This window comes from Homo sapiens, chromosome 9 (genome assembly GCF_000001405.40).
Source record: "Homo sapiens chromosome 9, GRCh38.p14 Primary Assembly".
Taxonomy (NCBI): domain Eukaryota; kingdom Metazoa; phylum Chordata; class Mammalia; order Primates; family Hominidae; genus Homo; species Homo sapiens.
This window is the reverse complement of record NC_000009.12, coordinates 128,919,600-128,942,593: the sequence shown is the minus strand read 5'-3', so window position 1 is coordinate 128,942,593 and position 22,994 is coordinate 128,919,600. Positions and strand designations below refer to the sequence as shown.

At 51.7% G+C, this 22,994-nt stretch overlaps 1 protein-coding gene across 3 annotated transcripts, besides 2 other annotated features; it reads right to left on the bottom strand.

The window, feature by feature from the left end:
- PHYHD1 (phytanoyl-CoA dioxygenase domain containing 1) lies at window positions 553-21,612 on the bottom strand. Of its 3 annotated transcripts, NM_001100876.2 has the most exons (13): window positions 20,926-21,612; window positions 20,547-20,664; window positions 20,238-20,311; window positions 15,398-15,556; window positions 8,737-8,812; window positions 8,536-8,583; window positions 6,091-6,146; window positions 5,949-6,011; window positions 4,816-4,837; window positions 2,097-2,225; window positions 1,879-1,995; window positions 1,023-1,149; window positions 556-926 (listed from the first exon to the last, which is right to left on the bottom strand). In NM_001100876.2, exons 3-13 carry the CDS (start codon window positions 20,268-20,270, stop codon window positions 881-883), a joined length of 876 nt encoding a protein of 291 aa, NP_001094346.1. In that variant the 5' UTR covers window positions 20,271-20,311; window positions 20,547-20,664; window positions 20,926-21,612; the 3' UTR covers window positions 556-880. The 3 variants fall into 3 exon arrangements, with proteins under 3 accessions (NP_001094347.1, NP_001094346.1, NP_777593.2); NM_174933.4 differs by lacking the exon at window positions 4,816-4,837; NM_001100877.1 differs by lacking the exons at window positions 5,949-6,011; window positions 20,547-20,664; window positions 20,926-21,612 and having other exon boundaries at window positions 553-926.
- Window positions 650-848: a silencer, noted in NCBI's record as "fragment chr9:131704025-131704223 (GRCh37/hg19 assembly coordinates)". NCBI's record gives its function as "represses an EF-1alpha promoter that drives an FKBP-Casp9 reporter gene in an ReSE screen in K562 erythroleukemia cells {active_cell/tissue: K562}" and the evidence as "EXISTENCE:reporter gene assay evidence [ECO:0000049][PMID:32094911]".
- Window positions 10,990-11,284: a silencer, noted in NCBI's record as "tiled region #12425; K562 Repressive DNase matched - State 5:Enh". NCBI's record gives its function as "represses a minimal TATA promoter and a strong SV40 promoter by Sharpr-MPRA in K562 cells {active_cell/tissue: K562}" and the evidence as "EXISTENCE:reporter gene assay evidence [ECO:0000049][PMID:27701403]".

Here is a 22,994-nt window from a genome sequence, read left to right as displayed (position 1 = left end):
TTCTGTAAGTACAGATAATGGCACTTACCTCTCCGAGTGAGGATTCCATGAGATAAAGCCTGTGAAGGTCTCAGCACAGAGCAGGGCACACGGTCACTGCCCACTAAATGTTACTTATTAAAATCATGCAAGCCACGCCAAGCAGGGCTGGGGTACCTGGGATGCATTTTAGCATCTTGTCTGGAAAGCAATTTTTTTTTTTTTTTTTGAGATGGAGTTTTGCTTGTGTTGCCCAGGCTGGAGTGCAATGGTGTGATCTCGACTCACCGCAATCTCTACCTCCCGGGTTCAAGCTATTCTCCTGCCTCAGCCTCCCGAGTAGCTGGGATTACAGGCACGCACCACCACGCCCAGCTAATTTTTTGTATTTTTAGTAGAGACAGGGTTTCTCCATGTTGGTCAAACTGGTCTAGAACTGCCAACCTCAGGTCATCCGCCCACCTCGGCCTCCCAAAGTGCTAGGATTACAGGCGTGAGCCACTGCACCTGGCCTGGAAAGCAGTTTTCTTCTCTGGAAAGCAATGCTGCTTGGGAAAGAAGGCTCAGTAGGGAAGCTGCATTCTGAAGTCGTTTTTATTCGATAACTAACACCATAATAACCAGAGTTCCATCTGAGAGGAGAGGAGAGTGAGAAGGGGCCAGAACCCTTTGGTGGCTGAGAAGCCTCCTCAAGGCTATGTTGGGGCAGTAGGGAGGCAGAGAGGTGAAGATCTTAGGGAAGCCCCTGACCCAGCCTAGGCTGCTGCCCACAGGGCAGGAGGAAAGCCCAGGAGGGGAGACAAGACCTCCCTGTTGCAACCAGGAGGCTGAGCAAGGCACTGGTGTTTACAGCCCACAGCTTCACCCGGGAGGGGCGAGGGCTCCTGCCCTGCGAGAGCCTTTAGGTGTACAGTTGGGGAAAGGGCAGTTCAGCTGTTGGCTGGAGCCTGCAGAGGATAGAGGAGAAACAACCTTGAGGTGCAGGGTCACTGTTCCCAGCCTCCAGGGGACTGTCGGGCACACACACCCACCCTGTCACCTACCAGTTCTCCGGGCTCCAGGTGGTGCCAGAGGCCTCCATGAGGTGGAAAGTGTAGGCCTGGCGCGAGCGGTCAGAGAGGTTCTGCTTGCTCTTGTGTACCACTTCTCCATGGATGAGGACCAGGGCCCCTGGCAGAGACACAAGCAGGTCAGGAACCTACCAGCCCCACATCCCCCCTCCCCAGAGCAGGAAGGGACATGGGCCCTCCTCCTTCCAGTGGTTTTGTGGCCCCCATCCATCCCCATTCCCTTCCCTGAAAGCTCAGGCATCTGCAGCCTCCCTCAGGGACAAAAGCTAAGCTATTGAGATGCATGTTCCTCTGGGATCAAGTCCCCTCTGCTGTGGACTGTGGCCTTGGCAAGCCTTAGGAAGGGCCTCCCCTCCCGAGGTCTTTGCAGGATCAGGCAGAAGCCCTCTGTCCTGTGCCAGTCCACTGGGACCTCTCCGGTGATGCTGAGTTAGACATTGGTTTTCCCTTTTCATAAGAAAAAGGGCCGCCCAACAGCCAACATTTGTTGAGCAGTGGCTATGCACTAGGCAGACTCTATATCAACATATTTATCATCTCACTGACTTTCCACTTTACGTTTGGGGAAATTAAGGCTCAGGGAGTCAGTCATTTGCCCAGAGAAACAGCCCATAAGTAGCAGAGTGTGGATTCCAGGGTGATCTGGATCAGCCTGCAGGAAAACATGCTGCTTCCTGACTTCCCAGCGCCCATCCAGCCCCTCCTTCTCTTTCTGTGACTTCACTGCCCTCAGATGACCCCGAGGGCAACCTCTTGGACGCTGGGTAGTCGAGCAAGCACAGACTGATGGACTCAGCCCCCTGCCTCTCTGCCCTCTGCATCTGCCTACCTCTCTGCACTGGGGTGGGCACAAAGAGGCTGTTATCCCGGGCTGGCTCTGACCCAAGGAAGCTGGTACCAGGCGCTGAGCCAACAGGGGCCCGGACCATCCTTCTTGACACACCACCTGCAGGCCAAGATGGAGAGCCTTAAACTCCTCCTTTCTCAAGGTCCCTCTCCCTAGGGGGTGGGGAGTCCCAAGTGGGCAGAAGAGACAGGGTTCCTCACTGGTGTGGGAGCCAGGGATGAACCAGAGACAGCCGTTCTCCAGCGTGGCATCCTCCACTGCGATCCACACGCCCAGCACCCGGCCCAGGGGCTCCGTGTACAGGAAGGAGGCGTCCTGATGAGGGGAGACTAAGCAGGCCCACGGGGGGTGAGGAGCTCATCCTTTTGCCTGTTTCCACCTCACCTTGGCCTCATTACCTATTCCTCAGTCCTCTGGGTGCTCTCCAGGGCCAGCCTTCCCATGATCAGTTAGAATCTCATCACTTCCTGGCCCAGGACTCTAAGGCAAGCGATTTCACCTCTCAAAGCCTCAATTTCCTAAACCGTGAAGTGGCTCCAACAACAACCTACCTCACAGGGTGCTGGAGGATTCTATGAGATGATGTATGAAAAGTGCTTAGGGCCCAACAATGTAACTGCTTGATATAAAGTAGCACTACTGTTTAATTCCAGTGAGATAACTCAAGCCACCCTTCTTAACCAGGGACAAGCGGCCCCCAGCCACCAGATGGTTCACCCAGTGGCCTAAGTTTGGGAGGTTGGGGCTTGGCGCGGTGGCTCACACCTATAATCTCAGCACTTTGGGAGGCCAAGGCGGGTGGATCACCTGAGGTCAGGAATTTGAGACCAGCCTGGCCAACATGGTGAAACCCTGTCTCTACTAAAAACACAAAAATTAGCCATGTGTGGTGGCAGGCGCCTGTAATCCCAGCTACTTGGGAGGCTGAGACAGAAGAATTGCTTGAACTCGGGAGGCAGAACTTGCAGTGAGCCGAGACTGTGCCACCTCACTCCAGTCTGGGTGACAGAGCAAGACTCCCTCTCAAAAAAAAAAATTGGGAAGTTGGGTGCGAAGCAGGGAGATGCTATGATCAGGCATCCACATTTCTTTATTATTATTATTATTTTTTTTTTTTTTGAGACGGAGTCTGGCTCTGTCGCCCAGGCTGGAGTGCAGTGGCACGATCTTGGCTCACTGCAACCTCCGCCTCCCGGATTCAAGTGATTCTCCTGCTTCAGCCTCCCTAGTAGCTGGGATTACAGGTGCCTGACACCACGCCCAGCTAATTTTCATATTTTTAGTAGAGATGGGGTTTCACCATGTTAGCCAGGCTGGTCTCAAACTCCTGACCTTAGGTGATCTACCCCCTCGGCCTCCCAAAGTGCTGGGATTACAAGCGTGAGCCACCACTCCTGGCCAGCATCCACATTTTTAAAAACCTCCCCACACGATGCTGGGGCACAGTTAGGATGCGGAACCACCGAACAAAGGAACATGGTCCTCAGCAACAGAACAAACAGGTTGCTGTCTCACCTCCTTCCTTCCCGGGCAACTGCGTGTTTTCTGAATACTGAACTTTAAGACAGACCTCCAAAGGAACATTTGAAATGGAAGGGGCTTTGAAACATTTGGGAGAGGAATGGTGGAAGGAACTGGGAGAACTGGACTCAGGCAGAGAGTGGGGATGGTCATCCCTTTGGGGAACTGGACTCAGGCTAAGGGTGGGGATGGTCATCCCTTTGGGGAACTTCGTACAGGCTGAATGGTGGAAGAAGGTGGTCACAAGGAGGCTGACTTGGGCTCATGCAAGGAAGGAAAGGGCTTCCTGGGAGGGGATGAGCTCCCTGTCACCAGAGGTATTTGAGCAGAAGTAGATAATCACCTACTAGGGAGGCTGTAAAGGGTGGCTGCATGGTGTAGGGTGTGGAACTAGATCAGCAATTTCTATGCTGAATTCGTCCTCCAGGAAACTTGTTAAAAATACAGATTCCAGGGCCGGGCGCGGTGGCTCATCCCTGTAATCCCAGCACTTTGGGAGGCTGAGGCGGGTGGATCACCTGAGGTCAGGAGTTCGAGACCAGCCTGGCCAACATGGTGGAACCCCGTCTCTACTAAAAATACAAAAAATTAGCTGGGCGTGGTGGCAGGCACCTGTAATCCCAGCTACTTGGGAAGCTGAGGCAGGAGAATCACTTGGACCGGAGAGGCGGAAGTTGTAGTGAGCCGAAATTGTGCCATTGTACTCCACCTTGGGTGACAAGAATGAAACTCTGTCTCAAAAAAAAACCCAAAAAACAGATTCCCAGGCCCATGCAGCCCTACTGGCTCAAGATCTCAGGGACTAGGGCCCAGGAATCTGTTTTTTTTGTTTGCTTGGTTTGGTTTGGTTTTTTTGTTTGTTTGGTTTTGAGACAGAGTCTCACTCTGTCACCCAGGCTGGAGTGCAGTGGTGTGATCTTGGCTCACTGCAACCTCTGCCTCCTGGGTTCAAGCGATTCTCCTGCCTCAGCCGCCTGAGTAGCTAGGACTACGGGTGTGCGATACTACACCCACCAAAATTTTTGTATTTTTAGTAGAGATGGGGCTTCAGCATGTTGGCCAGGCTGGTCTCGAATTCCTGACCTCAGGTGATCCGCTCGCCTCTGCCTTCCAAATTGCTGGGATTACAGGCATGAGCCACCACGCCTGTCCTAGGAAATCTATATTTTTAACCAGCTGGGGTTGCTGGCAGGCTCAGGACCCACTATGCCAAGGACGCAAGGTTTCCCTACCAATCCACTATCAGGGGAAGGAATGGAAGGTGGCTCCTCCTCTCCGGGCCAGGCTCCTACAACAGACAGGAGCAAGCGCTTTCCCTCCTTCTGAAGATCTGAGAACCATTGCTGTCTTAGATGTCCCACCCATGGCCTTTTCAGGGGCCCACAGCTCTCAGCTCACCTTCACCGCCAAAGTGAGGTTGCTGCAAGAGAGAGGAAAAGCCTGGTGAGGACAGAAGAGAGCAGAGAGGAGCTGGGCTTGCTGAGACTCCCAGGATGCTATTGCTCTGGCCACAGGCATTTTCCTCTCAGGATTCCACATCAACACCCAGCTACTGAGCACCTACCATATGCCAGCCCCAGGAGGGATGCAAAGAGAAAACCCCCACCCCTGCCCAACAAGCTCCTAGCATGTGCAAGCACACACATGCCTAACAAGATCACAGAGCAGAGCAGGGCAAGGACTGGAGGGAGAGGCTAGGACACAGGCCAGCAGTTGAGCCTTCCAGCCCCAGAGTCAGATGGGTCCTTCTTTCCTCAGGGGTTCTGGAAGGCTTCTTAGAAGAGGTGGCACTGAGCTGGCCCTTGAAAGCTGGGAGCACAGCATTTCAATTGCCAAAGAAGGGAGGAGGAAGGCCGAGGGAGGCCTGGGGATGACCCTCCCTCCTACCACCAAATTTTTTTTTCTTTTTTTTTTTCTTCCTTTTTGTGGAGAATGGGGTCTCGCTATATTGCCCAGGCAGGTCTCAAACTCCTGGGTTCAAGCTACCCTCCCACCTCTGCCTCCCTGAGAGCTGGGATTACAAGCGTGAGCCACTGCGCCTGGCCAAATTTTTCTTTTTTTTGAGACGGAGCCTTGCTCTATCCCCCAGGCTAGAGTACATTGGCGTGATCTCCACTCACTGTAACCTCCACCTCCTGGGTTCAAGCAATTATCCTGCCTCAGCCTCCCGAGTAGCTGGGACTACAGGTGTGTGCCATCACGCCCGGCTAATTTTTGTATTTTTAGTAGAGATGGGGTTTCTCCATGTTGGCCAGGCTGATCTCGAACTCCTGACTTCAGGTGATCTGCCCGCTTCAGCCTCCCAAAGTGCTGGGATTACAGGCATGAGCCACCACGCCCGGCCCCTACCACCAAATTTTAACTGAGGATCAACTAAGTTCCAGGTGCTTTAGCCAGAGGAGACCGATTTTCCATGTTCTCCCACCAACATAATAATTCCAGCAACTTTTGGCCCATTGTAAGGAAGGGCTTGGTATGAGCAGTCTGCCCATTTTACAGATGGTAAACTGAGGCAAGGACAAGGAGCTCACCTTAAAGATGTACATGCTCTGCACCACCACGGGCATCTGGAGGCCCAGACTTCTGGCCAAGGTCTGGAGGGGGGCAAAGGTCATGCTGCCAGCCTGCCACACATGGCCCACCCTCCTGGCCCTCACCCCCACCTCTGCTCACCTGCACCTTGAAGGAGTGTGTGATGCTCTTGAAGACGGGGTCGTGGGCGTGCAGAGCTATGGGACAGAAGGAAGCTGTCGGCCCCATCTCAGGCCCACGTGTCCCTCCACACCCAGCTCTGGGCACCCACACTCAGGCTTACTTTGACATTCTCACTTACTTTGTAGGCATTAACCCTTCTGCTTGTTTACAACTGAGTAATGGGCTCCACAGGAGCCTTGCCCCCACCCCAGGCCCTATGCCACCCATGCCCTTATTCTTGACCTTCTGGGAAGCTCAGTCCAGCCCCGACTCCCCACCCCTCACAGACGACTAAGGGCTCCAAGGCACCAATCATGCGGAGCAATCTCGGTACCACCATTTGCTCTGTGTGGCCTCGGGTAACCATTTCTCTCCTGTAAGCCTCAGTTTCCTCTTCTGTCAAATGAGGATTAGAAGAACCTGGGAGGCAGGACTGGTGTGGGACTCGATGGGCTAATGAATGTGCAGGGACAGCCCAGGGCCTGGCATGGGATAGTCCCTCATTGTCATAAACATAAGATTGAATGCATTTAATACCACTGAGCTATGTACTTTTTATTTTTATTTATTTATTTAGTTTTGAGATGGAGTCTCACTCTGTCGCCCAGGCTGGAGTGCAGTGGCACAATCTCGGCTCACTGCAACCTCCACCTCCCTAGTTCAAGCGATTCTCCTGCCTCAGCCTCCTGAGCAGCTGGGACTACAGGCATGTGCCACCACGCCCAGCTAATTATTGTATTTTTAGTAGAAATGGTTTTTCACCATATTGGCCAGGCTGGTCTTGAACTCCTGACCTCGTGATCCACCCGCCTCGGCCTCCCAAAGTGCTGGGATTACAGGCGTGAACCACCGCGCCCGGCCAAGCTACGTACTTTAAAAGGGTTATGATGATATGGTAAATCTTTTCTTTTTTTTTTTTTTTTTGAGACAGAGTTTCGCTCTGTTGCCCAGGCTGGAGTGCAGTGGCAGTAGCTGGGACTACAGGCGCCCACAACAAGGTCCGGCTAATTTTTTGTGTTTTTAGTAGAGACAGGGTTTCACTGTGTTAGCCAGGATGGTCTCGATCTCCTGACCTCGTGATCCGCCCACCTCAGCCTCCCAAAGTGCTGGGATTACAGGCGTGAGCCACCACGCCCGGCAATGATATGGTAAATCTTACGTGTATTTTACCACAACTTGTCTACAAGCTTACCATGATATAACTTCAGGCTTAACAATAAGCATTCTAGGCCAAGTGCAGTGGCTTATGCCTATAATCCCAGCATTTTGAGAGGCCAAGGCAGGAGGATCACTTGAGCCCGGTAGTTGAAGATCAGCCTAGGCAACATAACGAGACCTCCTCTCAATTTTATTTAAAAAAATAAATAGCCTATAAAACAAATTATAATGTATGATCCTAAAGAAAAAAAGTGAGGGTTTTCTTACTTGACTTTGGGGTGTCAGAATAGGGACCCTGTCAGCAGGTCAGGTGCCCCTTAGGGTGGCTCTAGGGAGCACTGGACCCAGGAGCTCCCCCAGGCCAGGCAGTAGAGAGCCTGCACATGCCCACCTGTTAGGGGGGATCAGGTGGACCCCCTATCCCCAGTGCTGTGGCAGCAGTGTCATGATTAGCAGAGGGGCCCAAGACCAGAGGGGAGCCTGAAGCCACAAATGCCATTTACCCGACCACTAATTTACTATGGGCTTTCTTTCTTGTTTGCTTTTTTTTTTTTTTGAGACGGAGTTTCACTCTTGTTGCCCAGGCTGGAGTGCAATGGCATGATATCGGCTCACTGCAGCCTCAGCCTCTCGGGTTCAAGCTATTCTCCCGCTTCAGCCTCCCAAGTAGCTGGGATTACAGGCATGCGCAACCATATTCAGCTAATTTTGTATTTTTAGTAGAGACAGGGTTTCTCCACATTGGTCAGGCTGGTCTTGAACTCCCGACCTCAGGTGATCCACCCACCTTGGCCTCCCAAAGTCCTGGGATTACAGACGTGAACGACCACGCCCAGCCACTATGGGCTTTCATTAAAGCTCCTAAACTCTTCAGGCTTCAGTTTCCCCAGTTTCCCCATGCTTTTTCCTTTTCTTTTTTTTTTTTTTTTAACAGGGTTTCACTCTGTCTCTGTCACCCAGGCAGGCTGGAGTGCAATGGCACATCTCAGCTCACTGCAACATCCGCCTCCCAGGTTCAAGCAATTCTCCTGCCTCAGCCTCCTGAGTAGCTGGGACTACAGGTGTGCACCACTACACTCACCTAATTTTTTCTATTTTTAGTAGAGATGGGGTTTCACCATGTTGGCCAGACTGGTCTTGAACTCCTGACTTCAAGTGATCTGCCCACCTTGACTTCTCAAAGTGTTAGTTAGGATTACAAGTGTAAGCCACCACTCCCAGCCTGTTCCCCGATCTTCTTTCCTGTACCCCCAAGCCCCTGCTCACCGTGGCCAATTTTGTTGATGGATTTCTCCGGAGGGACCAGGAAATTTCCTGTGGCACAAAGAACAGATAAAGGCAGAGAACTGGTGTCCAGCCTTCCATGGGCAGCTGGCTTCAGCATGCTTCCAGCCCAGGGGGCAGATTCCCAGGTCCAGCCTACCCTCACCATGGCTCCTCCCCAGCTCTAGGGCCCCAGCTCCAAACCTTTCTCATCAAAAACGCCTTTCTCAAAGAAGAATCGAATCTTGTCACCACTGCTCAAGAAATAGTCTGTGCTGCCCTGTGGAAAGGGGACATCAGAGGACTGAGACAGCATCCTGGGGTCAGAGCTGGGCCTGGCAAAGAGGGAGGCGGATTCAGAAGCTTCCCACCCTCACAGGGTTACAGACACCCTGGGGGCTTCTCAGACTTGTCCACTGAGGCACAGACAGTGAGCCAGAACTTCAAGTGCCTGGAAGCACACCCCAAAGATGCAAACATGGAATTTCTTGGACACCTCACTATACTGTGATTCAGAACATGGATGCTAGAGTCGAATAGGGCTGGTTCCCTAGCAGCCTTGGGCCCCTGGTTTTATGTCACCAAGACTTCATTTTCTCATCTGTAAAAAAAGGAATAATAATGGCTGGGAGTAACGACTCACACCTGTAATCCCAGCATATTGAGGCAGATCACTTGAGGCCAGGAGTTCGAGACCAGCCTGGCCAACATGGTGAAACTTTGTCTCTACTAAAAATACAAAAAACAGCTGGGCGTGGTAGGCACCTGTAGTCCCAGGTACCCGGGAGGCTGAGGCAGGAGAATAACTTGAACATGGGAGGCGGAGGTTGCAGTGAGCCGAGATTGCACTATGCACTCCAGCCTGGGCGACAGAGTGAGACTCTGTCTCAAAAAAAAAAAAAAAAAAAAAAGTCTGGGTGCAGTGGCTCATGCCTGTAATCCCAGCACTTTGGGAGGCCGAGGTGGGCGGATCACGAGGTCAGGAGATCGAGACCATCCTGGCTAACATGGTGAAATCCCCGTCTCTACTAAAAAAAATACAAAAAATTAGCCGGGCATGGTGGCAGGCACCTGTAGTCCCAGCTACTCCGGAGGCTGAGACAGGAGAATGGCGTGAACCCGGGAGGCAGAGCTTGCAGTGAGCCAAGATTGGGCCACTGCACTCTGGCCTAGGCAACAGAGCAAGACTCTGTCTCAAAAAATAAATAAATAAATAAATAAATAAATAAATAAATAAATAAGGAATAATAATAGAACTGACCAACCAGGCACTGTGGCTCACACCTGTAATCCCAGCACTTTGGGAGGCTGAGGCAGGCGGATCACGAGATCAGGAGTTCAAGACCAACCTGGCAAACATAGTGAAACCCCGTCTCTACTAAAAATACAAAAAATTGCTGGGTGCAGTGGCTCACACCTGTAATCCCAGCACTTTGGGAGGCCAAGGAGGGCAGACCACCTGAGGTCAGGAGTTCAAGAGCAGCCTGACCTACGTGGAGAAACCCCATTTCTACTAAAATTACAAAATTAGCCGGGCATGGTGGCGCATGCCTGTAATCCCAGTTACTCGGGAGGCTGAGGTAGGAGAATTGCTTGAACCTGGGAGGCGGAGGTTGCGGTGAGCCAAGATCGTGCCATTGCACTCCACCCTGGGCAACAAGAGCGAAATTCCATCTCAAGAAAAAATAAAAATAAAAACAAAAGTACAAAAAATTAGCCGAGTGTGGTGGTGGGCACCTGTTGTAATCCCAACTACTCAGGAGGCTGAGGCAGGAGAATCGCTTGAACCCAGGAGGCAGAGGTTGCAGTGAGCTGAGATTGTGCCATTGCACTCCAACCCGGGTGACAGTGCGAGACTCCATCTCAAAAAAAAAAAATAATAATAATAATAACAATAATAATAATAATAATAGAACTGACTTCCCCAGGCCGGGTGCGGTGGCTCATGCCTTTAATCTCAGCACTCTGGGAGGCTGAGGTGGGCAGATCACCCGAGGTCAGGAGTTTGAGACCAGCCTGACCAATATGATGAGACCCCATCTCTACTAAAAATGCAAAAATTAGCCGGGCGTGGTAGCATGCACCTGTAATCCCAGCTACTTGGGAGGCTGAGATGGGAGAATTGCTTGAACCCAGGAGGTGGAGGTTGCAATGAGCCAAGATCGCACCATTGCACTCCAGTCTGGGCAACAAGAGCAAAACTCCATCTCAAAAAGAAAGAAAGAAAGAAAGAAAGGCCGGGCGAGGTGGCTCACGCCTGTAATCCCAGCACTTTGGGAGGCTGAGGCGGACGGATCACGAGGTCAGGAGATCGAGACCATCTTGGCTAACACGGTGAAACCCTGTCTCTACTAAACAAAATACAAAAAATTAGCCGGGTGTGGTGGCGGGCGCCTGTAGTCTCAGCTACTCCAGAGGCTGAGGCAGGAGAATGGCGTGAGCCCAGGAGGCGGAGCTTGCAGTGAGCCGAGATCGCGCCACTGCACTCCAGCTTGGGTGACAGAGCGAGACTCCGTCTCAAAAAAAAAAGAAAAAGAAAAACAAAAAACTGACCTCCTCAATTCTTGGAGGCTTCAGCCAGAGGCTGAATCTTATAGCAGTTAGGACACAGATTCTGGAGCTGAAATCCTTGGGTTTAAATCCTGGCTCTAGGATGGGTGCTGTGGCTCATGCTTGTAATCCTAGCACTTTGGGAGGCCAAGGCGGGTGGATCACCTAAGGTCAGGAGTTCGAGACAGCCTGGCCAACATGGTGAAACCACGTCTCTAATAAAAATCCAAAAATTAGCAGGACGTGGTGGCACACGCCTGTAATCCCAGCTACTCTGGAGGCTGAGGAAGGAGAATCACTTGAATCCAGGAGGTGGAGATTGCAGTGAGCTGAGATCACGCCACTGCACTCCAGCCTGCATGACAGGAGCGAAAATATATCTCAAACAAAACAAAAAAATCCTGGCTCTATTGCAGTGGTCTGGAACCAAACCTGAATTATCTCTGAGACATGCCTGTACATGTGTTATCTTACTCAGCCTCCCAAAACCCAGAGAGGTAGGGTCTACTATAATCTCCATTTTATAGAAGAAGAAATTGAGGTGCCTTTTTTTTTTTTTTTTTGAGACAGAGTCTCGCTCTGTCGCCCAGGCTGGAGTGCAGTGACCCAATCTCGGCTCACTGCAAGCTCCGCCTCCCGGGTTCACGCCATTCTTCTGCCTCAGCCTCCCGAGTAGCTGGGACTACAGGTGCCCGCCACCACACCCAGCTAATTTTTTGTATTTTTAGTAGAGATGGGGTTTCACTGTGTTAGCCAGGATGGTCTCGATCTCCTGACCTTGTGATCCCCCCGCCTCGGCCTCCCAAAGTGCTGGGGTTACAGGCGTAAGCCACTGCACCCGGCCGAGGTGCTTTTTTTGTTTGTTTTTTTCTTTTTTTTTTTGAGACGGAGGTTCACTCTTGCCCAGGCTGGAGTGCATTAGCGCGATCTTGGCTCACCTCAACCTCCATGTTGGTCAGGCTGGTCTTGAACTCCTGACCTCAGGTGATCTGCCCACCTCAGCCTCCCAAAGTGCTGGGATTACAGGCATGAGCCACCATGCCAGGGTTTGTTTTTTTTTTTTTAAAAAGACAGTGTCTCATTTTGTTGGCCAGGCTGGAGTGAATGGTGCAATGGGATCACGGCTCACTGTAGCCTTGACTTCCTGAGCTCAGGTGATCCTTCCACCTCAGCCTCCTAAGTAGCTAGAACTACAAGTTCACACCACCATGCCTAATTTTTTTTTTTTTTTTGAGACAGGGTTTCACTCTGTCCCCCAGGCTGGAGTCCAGTGGCGCAATCTTGGCTCACTGCAACCTCCATCTCCTGGGTTCAAGCTATCCTCCTGTCTCAGCCTCCCAAGTAGCCAGGATTACACACGTGCATCACCACTCTCAACTAATTTTCTTGGATTTTTGGTAGAGATGGGGTTTTGCCATGTTGCTCAGGCTGGTGTTGAACTCCTGGGCTCAAATGATCTGCCTGCCTTGGCCTCCCAAAGTGCTGGGATTACGGGTATGAGCCACCATGCCCGGCCACGACTAATTTTTTTTTTTTTTGTATTTTTTGTAGAGACAGGGTTTCACCATGTTGCCCAGGCTGGTCTCAAACTCCTGAGCTCAAGTGATTTGTCCACTGCCTTGGCCTTGCAAAGTGCTAGGATTATAGGCTTGAGCCACCATGCCTGGATGGTAAAAATATTAAAGGTAATGATGCTAAGCATATGTCAAATATTTTACTGAATTCGTTATTTCATGAGGGAACCAGTAAGATGTTACAACTGGTTCAAAGGAGAATTCCAAGAATTACACACACACGTATGTAGATACTAAGGAAACTGAAATGAATTTTTTTTTTTTTGAGATAGAATCTCGCTCTGTCACCCAGGCTGGAGTGCAGTGGCACAATCTCAGCTCACTGCAAACTCTCCCTTCAGGGTTCAGGCGATTCTCCTGCCTCAGCCACCCAAGTAGCTGGGACCGCCGGCGCCTGCCACCATGCCCAGCTAATTTTTGTATTTTTGGTAGAGACCGGGTTTCACCATGTTCCCTAGGCTAGTCTTGAACCCTTGACCTCCAGCGATCTGCCTGTTTCAGCCTCCCAAAGTGCTGGGATTACAGGTATAAGCCACCACTCCTGGCCCTTGAAATGAATTTAGAGATAGATGCAAACTGTTTTTTGTTTTGTTTTGTTTTTTTGAGACAGGGTCTTTCTTTATCACCCACCCAGACTGGAGTGCAGTGGCATGATTATAGCTCACTGCAGCCTCAACCTCCTGGCCCCAAGTGATCCTTCTGCCTCAGCCTCCCATGTAGCTGGGACCACAGGCATATACCACCATGCCCAGCTAATTTAAAAAAATTTTTTTGTAGAGACAGGTCTCACTTTGTTGACCAGGCTGTTTGCGAATTCCTGGGCTCAAGCGATCCTCCCTGCTTGGCCTCCCAAACTGCTGGGATTACAGGCATGAGCCACCACACCCAGCTGCCCAACTGTTCTATCCACAGGGCAATAATTGCATTCCCCAGGACCCAGTTCATGGTAACGTGATTGGAACAGAGTGGTACTGACCCCCTACTTGGACAAGTATCATGTGCATTATTATCAGTTTTATCCAACTTACAGTGTTGTAAAATAACTCAAACAAGGAAAGCTGGAGGTAACCCAAGAAAATGAAACAGGACGCCCACTGATCTTTTTTTTTCTCACAGTATCAAGAGTGAATATTGAGGATGTTACTGAGTGCTGGGCACCATGCCAAGCTCTTTTCTTTGCATGCATTATAAACCAAGATATATCAGTTTTTTGTTTTTGTTTTTGTTTTTTTTTGAGACAGGATTCTTGCTCTGTTGCCCAGGCTGGAGTGCAGTGGCATGATCTTGGCCCACTGCAACCTCCACTTCCTGGGTTCAAGCGATTCTCCTGTCTCAGCCTCCCAAGTAGCTGGGATTACAGGTATGCATCACCTGGCCCAGCTAATTTTTGTATTTTTAGTAGAAACAGGGTTTCACCATGTTGGCCAGGCTAGTCTCAAACTCCTGACCTCAGATGATCCACCCACCTCGGCCTCCCAAAGTGCTGGGATTACAGGCGTGAGTCACTGCGCCCGGCCAATATATCAGCTTTATTCTCACTTTCTTCCCACCCCACAACCCATTAGTCTCTGAAGGCAGCTTGGAGGGCACAGGATTCGGCCCTTCTTACTCCTAGGAACCCTTGAGTGGCCTGCCTGTCTCTGGCTGCAGGAGCTGTCTCTGCTTCCCCCAGTATCCCCCCGAATGGAAGGCAGCTGTGCAGCAAATGAGACCAGCTTTTTGGAAGAAACTGTCATTCCTTAACTGGTTCTTTTTCCTTCTCAAGACCCCATTCTTCCCATTCCCTGGGATGGCTTCCGGCTGTTGTATTTCTGCTAATGCCCACCAGATGGCAGGTGCTCCTCGGCGTGAGTGCCAGGATCTCACCTGGCCCAGGCGCAAGCAGGCTCATAATAAACTCTGACTAGGAAGGGTCAAGAGAACGGTGTGGGAGACCCCAGAGTCTTCAATTTACCCATTGCAAACTGTACTGGGTCCTATCATGTGACCTATTCGGTCACTGGGGGGAGAAAATCTGAGTTCCTAGTCTCATGGGGGATAGTTACACAGGTGGGGGTCATCCAGACCACTGTGCTCATTCCAGGTGGCTGGCCACAAAGTGGCCTTCGGTGACCAGAGAACAGCCGGAAAACAGAAAGTAAAGCCAAGCTGGGAACAGCAGGGACTTGGTATCAGACAGATCTGGGTTGAAATCCTGACTCTGTCCACTACTAACTGTGTGGCTTGGGGCAAGTGATCTGAACCTAATTTTCCCCAACTGTCTAATGGGGGGATAATAATAGCCTGTAATTTCAGCACTTTGGGAGACTGAGGCTGGTGGATCACCTGGAGATCAGGAGTTCAAGACCAGCCTGACCAACATGATGAAACCCTGTCTCTACTAAAAATACAAAAATTAGCCGGGCCTGGTGGCGCATGCCTGTAAGTGCAGCTACTCAGGAGGCTGAGGCAGGAGAATCACTTGAACCCGGGAGGCGGAGGTTGCAGTGAGCTGAGATCGCGCCACTGAATTCCAGACTGAGCAACAGAGTGAGATTCTGTTTTAAAAGAAAAAAGAAAAAAAAAAAGGACAATAAAGCCTACTTGATAACTTCCCAGTGAGGAGCGAGGGAAAGGTGTGTAAGGGGCTTGGCCTGACACCCTGGAGCCTTGGGATCCTCCCTTCCACGATGCTGCTCTGGCCGGGGACCAAGCCCTCCCTCAAAAGCCACATCCCATCCTCATGTGCCCCAGACACCTACCTGGGCTCGAAGCTGCTCCTCTTCCTGGGTGGAGAATTCTGTGCGGCAGTGGAGAGGAACATCCATTTCAGCCACTATCTCGCCAATCCTTTGTTGCATGGCCACACACTCTTCCGCAGACAAGAATCCTTCCAGCACCAGGAATCCATCCTGTTGGAACTGCAGGCAGGCTTGAGACTCAGGCTTCCCCAGTCTGCAAATGCTCCTGTCTGACCCTTCCCTCAACCTTGCAGCTGTGTGAAGGTGGGACCAGGTATCTTGTTTGCTGCCCTGTCCCCAACCCCAGGCATGGAGTCTGGCACCCAGCAAAGAGCAATCAATATTGGCTGCTTGAATGGAAGAACAAGTAGTGAGGCCGGGTGCAGTGGCTCATGCCTCTAATCCCAGCACTTTGAGAGGCTGAGGCGGGCAATAACTTGAGGTCATGAGTTTGAGACCATCCTGGCTGGTCTCAAACCAGCCAGGGCATGGTTAGCTGGGCATGGTGGTGCATGCCTGTAGTCCCAGCTACTTGGGAGGCTGAGGCAGGAGAATCACTTGAACCCAGGAGGCGGAGGTTGCAGTGAGCCGAGATCTCACCACTGCACTCCAGCCTGAGCAACAGATGAGACTCCACCTCGAAAAAAAAAAAAAAAAAAGAAAGAAAAAGAAAAAGGAAGCTGGGCACAGTGGCTCACGCCTGTAATCCCAGCACTTTGGGAGGATCACTTAAGGTCGGGAGTTCCAGACCAGCCTGACCAACATGGTGAAACCCCATCTCTACTAAAAATACAAAAACTTGGCCAGGTGTGGTGGCGCATGCCTGTGTAATCCCAGCTCCTCGGGAGGCTGAGGCAGGAGAATAGCTTGGAGGCAGGAGAATAGCTTGAACCCAGGAGGTGGAGGTTGCAGTGAGCCGAGATCATGCCATTGCATTCCAGCCTGGGCAACAAAAGCGAAACTCCGTCTCAAAAAAAGAAAAGAAAAAGGAGCGGCAAGGGAAAGTTGTCCCTGCCCTTCCCCTCCAGGCTTGGGTCACCTGGAAACACAACCTTATTCATGTATTCAGCCAATATTGATTGAGCATCTACTGTGTCTGAGACACGGTTTTAGGAGCTAAAAGTATGGCTATAAGCAAGCCAGCCATGATGCCTGCCCTCATGGTGTCTACAGTCTAGTGAAAGAGACCGGCATTACACTAACCACACAGGTAAATTTACTGTCACAAACTTCGTGCCAGAGAGAGAGGATGAGTGTGAGTGCTGAAGGCAGAAGCAGCTAGCGTAAGCTGGCTGGGAAGGAGAAGGGTCTGGGAGCAGCAGCGCTGAGGGAGTGACATTTCAAGAGGGGACCAGCAGGATAAGGGAAGGGCATTCCAGACAGAGGGAGCAGGATATGGGAAGCCCCTGAATTTGGGAGGAACATAAGGAATTGGGAATGGATAGGGCAGAGTGAGGGGAGGGGTGGAAGAGGAGGCAGGAGGGTGGCAGGGGCTGGGCCAGGCTGGGAGCTATATTCTATCCTGAGCGCAGTGGCAGCCAGGGAGGGGAAGTAGATGGCTTCTTCTGATTTGCCTCTGGTCCTCTTATTCTGAGGCTCTTGAGAGAGAAAGGGAGGGAATGAATATCTGCACATTTGCCTGCAGAGCGTTACCAAGTTTTAGCCCCAACAGGGACACTGAAAGTCACCTACTGCTGGGCATGGTGGCTCACACCTATAATCCCAACAGTTTGGGAAGTCAAGCTGGGTGGATTGCTTGAGGTCAGGAGTCGGAGACTAGCCTGGCCAGCAAGGTGAAACCCTGTCTCTACTAAAAATACAAAAATTAGCCAGGTGCGGTGGCGGGCACCTGTAATCCCAGCTACTCGGGAGGCTGAGGCAGGAGAATCATTTGAACTCAGCAAGCAGAAGTTGCAGTGAGCTGAGATCACGCCACTGCGCTCTAGCCTAGAAGACCAAGCAAGACTTCATCTCAAAAAAAAAAAAAAGAAAGAAAAAGAAAAGAAAGTCACTTACTGCACACACCCACAAAGAGCCTAGTTTCCGGTTAAGGACACCCCTTCCGCCACCATGGGATGCTCAGTTCTGGCTTCCACACACCACTCATGACCACCCACCATGGGCCCCTCAGCTCTGCATGTTAGGAATTAATCACATCAGTATCAAGCTGAAAATTGCCTCCTTGGGAATTGGGCCAACCACAGCAACCTGTGCAACATACCCTTGATCCAGTAAATACACAAATACAGCTAGGAATTCTTTTTTTCCTTTTTTTTCTTTTTGAGACGGAGTCTCACTCTTGTTGCCCAGGCTGGAGTGCAATGGCATGATCTCAGCTCATCGCAACCTCTACCTCTCAGGGTTAAGTGATTCTCCTGCCTCAGCCTCCCGAGTAGTTGGAATTACAGGAATGCACCACCACACCTGGCTAATTTTTGTATTTTTAGTAGAGATGGGGTTTCACTATGTTGGCCAGGCTGGTCTCGAACTCCTGACCTCAGGTGATCCACTCACTTCGGACTCCCAAAATGCTGGGATTACAGGCATGAGCCACCGCACCCAGCCCTTTTCTCTTTTCTTTCCTTCTTCTTTTTTTTTTTTTTTAAGAGACAGGGTCTCTCTCTGTCACCCAGGCTGGAGAGTAGTGATGTGATCATAGCTCATTGCAGCCTTGAACTTCTGGGCTCAATCAATCCTCCTGCCTCAGTCTCCCGAGTAGCTGGGACTGCAGGTGCACACCACCACGCCTGGCTAATTTTATTTATTTTATTGTTTATTTTATTTTATTTTACTTTATTCTGAGACAGAGTCTCACTCTGTTGCCCAGGTTGGAGCGCAGTGGCGCGATCTCAGCTCACTGCAAGCTCCGCCTCCCGGGTTCACACCATTCTCCTGCCTCAGCCTCCCGAGTAGCTTGGACTACAGGCGCCCGCCACCATGCCCAGCTAATTTTTTTGTGTTTTTTAGTAGAGACGGGGTTTCACCATGTTAGCCAGGATGGTCTTGATCTCCTGACCTTGTGATCCGCCCACTTCGGCCTCCCAAAGTGCTAGGATTACAGGCATGAGCCACTGCGCCCGGCCTGTTTATTTTATTTTTGAGACGCAGTCTTGTTCTGTTGACCAGGCTGGAGTGCAGTGGCATGATCTCAGCTCACTGCAAACTCTGCCTTCGGGGTTCAAGTGATTCTCCAGCCTCAGCCTTCTGAGTAGCTAGGATTACAGGTGTGCGCCACCACGCCCAGCTAAATTTTTGTATTTTTAGTAGAGACAGGGTTCCGCCATGTTGGCCAGGCTAGTCTCCAACTCCTGACCTCAGGTGATCCGCCTGCCTTGGCCTCCCAAAGTGCTGGGATTACAGAGGTGAGCCACCGCGCCTGGCCAGTTTTATTTTTTTTTAGAGAAGGAGTCTTGCTATATTGCCCAAGCTGGTCTTGAACTCCTGTGCACAAGCGATCCTCCCACCTTGGCATCACAAAGTGGATTGGGATTACAGACGTGAGCCACAGCTAGGAATTGTTTTAGGAGGATTACGCAATAGGGGATCAAAGATATACATATACATATGGGGATATTCACTGAGCCTTGTTTCATGACAGAACCAAGTGGGGAGTAATCTAAATGCTCAGCGCAAGGGGATTAGTTTAACAAAGTATAGTTTATCTATCTGGAACACAGTATAGCTGATAAAAATCATGTAGAAACATATTTCCTCTCAAAGATTGGCTATACATGATTATCTGGCCATTGTGAGAACTTGACCAAGTAAGTGCCCTCCTTTCTCTGGCCCTCGGGCTACCAAACGGGGATAGCAGTACAGCCTCCTTTATTGAAGCTGGCAGGCTGGGCGCGGTGGCTCATGCCTTGTTGTCCCAGCACTTTGGAAGGCCAAGGCAGGAGGATCGCTTTAGCCCAGGAGCTCTGGACCAGCCTGGGCAACAAAGTGAGACCCCATCTCTGCAAAAATAAAAATAGGACCGGGCACGGTGGCTCACGCCTGTAATCCCAGCACTTTGGGAGGCCAAGGCAGGCGGATCACTTGAGGTCAAGAGTTCAAGACCAGTCTGGCCAACATGGTGAAATCCTGTCTCTACTAAAAATACAAAATTAGCCAGGTGTGGTGGCGCATGCCTGTAATCCCAGCTATTCGGGAGGCTAAGGTAGGAGAGTCGTTTGAACCTGGGAGTCAGAGGTTGTGGTGAGCCAAGATTGTGCCATTGCACTCCAGCCTGGGCAACAAGAGCAAAACTCCGTCTCAAAAAAAAAAAAAAAAAAAAAAAAAGAGCTGGGCATGGGGGCGTGTGCCTGTGGCAAGACCCCGTCTCCTCCCTACCCTCCCAAAAAAACCTGTCCAGCACTTGATTCGTGGTAGCTGTTGTAACAGACTTTGAAACAAAGCTTCTAGAGCTGTATACGAAAATATTAAGTCTCAGCGTAGGAATGTATGAGTGATTTTTTAAAAGGCTGTTGCACACTAATTCCTACGAGGTAGCCTTTTGTGATTGGACGAACATGGGCCCTCCTGGGCCCCTCGCAGGCCCCGCCCCCTCCTGGGCGCTGCGCCCCCCAACAGCGTTGCCGACTCCCGCCCAGGGCTGAACTGGTGGGTTCCGAGGCCTTATTCTCGTTTTTGGTCAAACACACACGTCCCCACCCCACCCTACCCTGGGTCCTGTGATCTAGACACCCAGGGCTATGTGTGAAGAAGTCAGGAGGGGTTGCGGTTGGGAACCCGCTCCTCTGGGCTTCAGTTTCGTCCTCGGTAAAATGGGGCAGGGGGTGGGTTGGGCACTGGGACTACTGAAGGTCCGGCAGGGACCCCCCCGCCATGACCCTCCCGGCCCCGACTTGCAGGCTCCTACCTTCTGGAGCTGCGAGGGGCTCAGGCAGGCCATGGAGACGCTCAGGGCACTGGGCGGCTTCTAAGCGCGGCCTCCTGGTGGGGAGGAGAAAGTTTAGGAGCCTGGGAGGACTTAACCCTTCCCTACCCGGAGAAAACCCGGTCCCACCACCCAACCCTCCTTCCCTAGACACAGCCAGATCAGCCTGTGACCTCCAGGCTAATCTCCCCCACCCCCACAACTAATCCAGGATTTGCCCTTTCCCATCTCCAAGGATTTTATCTGCTTCCTCTGTGTTTCTTCTGGAAACCACCCCCCACCACTGCTTACCAGGTGCCGGGAAATTATGCTGTGAGAGGGTCAGGCCAAGCAGCTGGGCTGAGTCCCAGTCCAGGCGCCGCCATTCCCTGTGACTCTGAGGAACGCCTGCCTCTCTCTAGGCCTCAATCTGGATAGAATGGGATGCAGGGTTGGTCTGGGGGATGTGCGGCACCCCCCTTCTCCAGGTAATGGGCATTCCAAAGGTGGAAGAGGTCCTGGGGAGAACTATCTGGGCCCCTCCCAGCACCGATCTGAAACCCTCTCGGTCCTGGGAGGATTATGGAAGGGAATTAACGCATCCATCTGCAGCTCAGACGAAAGTAGGAGACATGGGGTATCTTAGTAGGAGGAAGGGGCTGAGGAGAGAGAGATGCTTCCTGTTACCCACCCTCAGGCCCAAGATACTTGGCATCTCAAGTCGGGCTGGCACAGTGGAGCTGGGGTCAGAACAACACCTGCAGGCCGGGTGCGGCGGCTCGGGCCTGTAATCCCAGCACTTTGGAGGCAGAGGCGCGCGGATCACGAGGTCAGGAAATCGAGACCATCCTGGCTAACACGGTGAAACCCCGTCTCTACTAAAAATACAAAAAATTAGCCGGGCGTGGTGGCGGGCACCTGTAGTCCCAGCTGCTCGCGAGGCTGAGGCAGGAGAATGGCGTGAACGCGGGAGGCGGAGCTTGCAGTGAGCCGAGATTGGGCCACTGCACTAGAGCCTGGGCGACAGAGCGAGACTCGGTCTCAAAATAAATAAATAAATAATAAATAAAAATACCAAAAACTAGCCGAGCATGGTGGCAGGTGCCTGTAGTCCCAGTTACTCGGGAGGCTGAGGCAGGAGAATCGCTTGAACCCAGGAGGCGGAGGTTGCAGTGAGCCGAGATCATGCCACGGCACTCACTCCAGCCTGGACGACAGAGTAAGACTCCATCTCAAAAAACAAAAACAAAAACAAAAAGAGAGAATAACACTTGCACACCACCACCCTTCTCAGCTTGCCCTGCTCAGCAGCTGGCAGGGCCACTCGCTGGCTCTGAAAAACCGGCTGCTGCCTTCCCCAAAATGATGCCTTCTGAATGGCGAAGGGACAAAGTGTTTCAGGAGTGTGCATGGGGACACTGCTCAGCCCTCAAGAGCCTTGGCCTCGAGTCAAGTCGTGTTTGCTGGGCCACCGCTCTGGGAGCTGCTGCTTGGTCCAGGCCGTCCGGGGGGCAGGGGGGAGCAGTAAGTGCAGCTCAGGCTCCTGGTTCAGAGGGGTTAGGCTGGGTGAGGGGCAGGCAGATGACAGAACCACGAGGTTCACTAGAGGCAGGATGTGTTCCCAGCTGTCCTTAACCCTTCTGATGCAACTGCCCAACAAAGACAGATGCCTACCATGTGCCAAGAACACTGAGGTCCCCTCGGACTGGGCCAGCCATTCCCCTGGGAGCCCCCACAGAAGGCTTGTAGTAGAGACTCAGTGAAGCAGACTGTGTTTGCGTCCCAGATGTTCAGGCCTTACTTTCCCAGTCTGTAATTTGGGGCTAGCAGTAGGATCCCCTGTGAGCAGTAAATAAGATGAATGCTTCGCAGCTGATAAAGAGCTTGGCACCAGGCCTGGCGCTGAGTAAGTGCCTACCAACTGGTGAACAAGTTGTTCACCAAATGTTAGCAGGGGCTGTTCTGAGTGGAATATTATTTATTTATTTATTTTTTATTTTATTTATTTTTTTTGAGATGGAGTCTCGCTCTGTCACCCAGGCTGGAGTGCAGTGGCGCAATCTCAGCTCACTGCAAGCTCCGCCTCCCGGGTTCACGCCATTCTCCTGCCTCAGCCTCCCCAGTAGCTGGGCCTACAGGCGCCTGCCACCACGCCTGGCTAATTTTTTATATTTTTTAGTAGAGATGGGGTTTCACCGCGTTAGCCAGGATGGTCTCAATCTCCTGACCTTGTGATCTGCCTGCCTCGGCCTCCCAAAGTGCTGGGATTACAGGCGTGAGCCACCGCGCCCAGCTGGGTGGAATATAATTTAAACAATTTTTTTGAGCTTCCAAAATTGCTGTTACAATCAGAGAGAAGACCACCACAGTGGTTTTAGGCAGAGTGGAGAGCCCTGGGTGGGTGGGGGAGGGGGAGGGGAGAGGCCCAGCCTCCCACTAACTGTTCATTCTGCTCAACTTTGGGAAGTGGGTGGGCGGTGTTTCTACATGGTGGTTTTTTCCAAATGTAAACCAGCTCCAGATCGAACTCTCCTGCTCCAGGCGCTGGACAGCCTCAAGGCCAGGGTGGGGGCGGGAGTGGGGTCGGGGGGTGGTGGGAAGGGTACCAAACTGGGGGAGGGACCTCCACCACGGAAACAGAAAAGAAGGCCCCAGCCCGGCAGTCACAGTCCAGCTGCTCAGCCTGTCAGCCCATGGCAGGGGGAGAAGAGGGAGGGAATCTTGGCTCAGGCCTGAGTTCACCTGGAGGGGTCAGAGTCC